We start from the raw sequence: 2,335 nt of genomic DNA on the forward strand, positions 1-2,335 counted from the left end.
ACTCCACTGGGGGAGGACTACTGGAATCTTGTTCCTGGTGTCTCCTGGGCTCCTCCCTATGTGTCTTTTTCCTTTGCTGATTTTAATCTACATTATTTCACCATAATAAACTGTGACTGTCAGCATAACAGCTCAGGAATCCTGAGGGTGATCCTGGGGAACCCTGATGTACATTAACCCCGAATTGTATTCACTGTCTACTACATACTGACAATATTACTGATAAAAGGGAAACAGACAGGAGTAGGGGGATGGGGATAGACCCTAAAATCTGTGGGCTGTTTATTGTGAGCTAGGAACTATTTTATATGCTTTTCATGCAGCTATTATCAGATGGCATTCATGCAATAACTCTCTCATGTTGGTTTTATAGACAGGAAAATGGAGTTTCCATCTCTAACCCCTAATAGGTCAAATTAATACAGTATGGCCTAAAGCTGTAGGCATATAAAAACCATTCACCATAACTGAATGGTAGAACCAGATACAAGCTGGGTTCTCTGAGATCCCAAGCTCTGGTTCCAGCATACCACAGCAAAGATGTAGCTACACCATGGCCATGACATGTGCAGCAGAGGCTGTGGGTTCTCTGCCCACACCAGAATTCACTGCAGAGTTTCTGGACATGCCTATGACCTGCTGCATTTCTCAGCCTGACAACTCTCTCTGATAGGTTGAGCATGCTTGTCCAGCACACCAGACGTGATACCTGAGGAATGGCCCTCAAACAATAAGAAATGTAATTGGTGAATAAATACCTGATTTTCTTTGCTCCTCATTGGGTCAATTCTGAGGCATGTTCCACAGAGTGTCCCACATAATCCCCAATGAAATTGAGCCCTAGTTGTGTTACCAGTAGAGGGTCTTGACTGCAAGTTGTCCAGGTTCTTGCATTTTGAACAAAGAATTGGACAAAATGCACAGCAAAGTAAGGAAAGAACGAAGCAATGAAAGAGCAGAGATTTATTGAAAATGAAAGTATACTCTTCAGTGTGGGACCCGGCTTGAGCAGCAGCTCAAGGGCCCCAGATACAGAATCTTCTCGGGTTCAAATACACCCTAGAAGTTTCCCATTGGCCACTTGGTGTTCACCTCATATAAATGTTCACCTTCACATAAATGAAGTGGTGGCCCCCTATTGGTTGCTTACTGCAACCAATCAGAGGCTGGAGTGAAGTTACAAAGGTCACACACCTATACAAACATCTGGCTAGTTGTGGACAGCAACCAATCAGAAGCTGAAGTGAAGTTACAAAGTTACAGTCTTATGCAAACGTCTGTTTGCGTCTGGTTGCAAAAAGCAACCAATCAGAGGTACTTTCAATTTCCTATCTGCCCATGAGGAACAGGTGGGAGTTTGCAAAGGGTTTGCCTCTGGTCCTTTTGCTACTTAGGCATGGAAAGTTAGGGTTTTACTTTCAGTTTAGTCCTAGGAAGTCAGCATGAAACGGCCTTAGGTTCCCTGCCTCCAGACCCTGTTCTGCGGACTCAGTTGCTCACAGCAGCGTGCCCCTCTGTGACATGCCCTTTACTGGCATTATTCCTTATCTATCTCACCTCCCCATGCCTTCACTATGTGACCTGCTGTTCCCTCCCAAATATACGACTTGAAGCCAAATTCCAAACTCAGTATTTATATTCGGTAGAAACCCACATGAAGAAAAGTTATAGGATCATACCCAAATAGCTAGATATAAAGCAGAAAACAAAGGGACTGAAGGACAGTAGCACCATGGTTACACCCTGCATTCTGTATTTTTAAGTCTCACCTTCATAACGTACAAACATTTCTTTGTCCCATATTTGACTTAAGTTGAATCATTACATTCAATTCTAGCATGAAATATGTATATACAATAAGTTGTCATACATTGTTCTATATTATAGTATGTTCTTTGTACTTTAGTTTATTTGGTTAATTCTTGTTTTCCACCCTTAATGCCATTAAAGTATGTACCTAGATGAACCATCATTCGTAAAGCTGAAAGGTAATATTTACTTAATCAAAATTAGACTTCTTAATACTCGTTAAAGGGAAAACCCATTGTGGGGAAGAAGCATAGAGTATAATGCTCATATTATATTTCAGACAATAAAACAACCTTGTATAATCCTATTATGAACATTAGCATACATTTCACAGCCCATCCGGCAAACAATAAGGGTCATGACTCTATGTATTTGAAATGCTATCCAGGGCATTGTAGTAAGCAAAATGGTAAAACCTACAGCTGTGTCAGTGGGTCAAAAAGCGGTCATGGTACATTTCTCAGACACTGTGAACCCAAATACGCTTTTATAAAGATAAGCTGTGTGTTAGGAAACATGTTTTTCA

The sequence above is a fragment of the Homo sapiens genome, chromosome 20 (assembly GCF_000001405.40).
Source record: "Homo sapiens chromosome 20, GRCh38.p14 Primary Assembly".
NCBI classification, from domain to species: domain Eukaryota; kingdom Metazoa; phylum Chordata; class Mammalia; order Primates; family Hominidae; genus Homo; species Homo sapiens.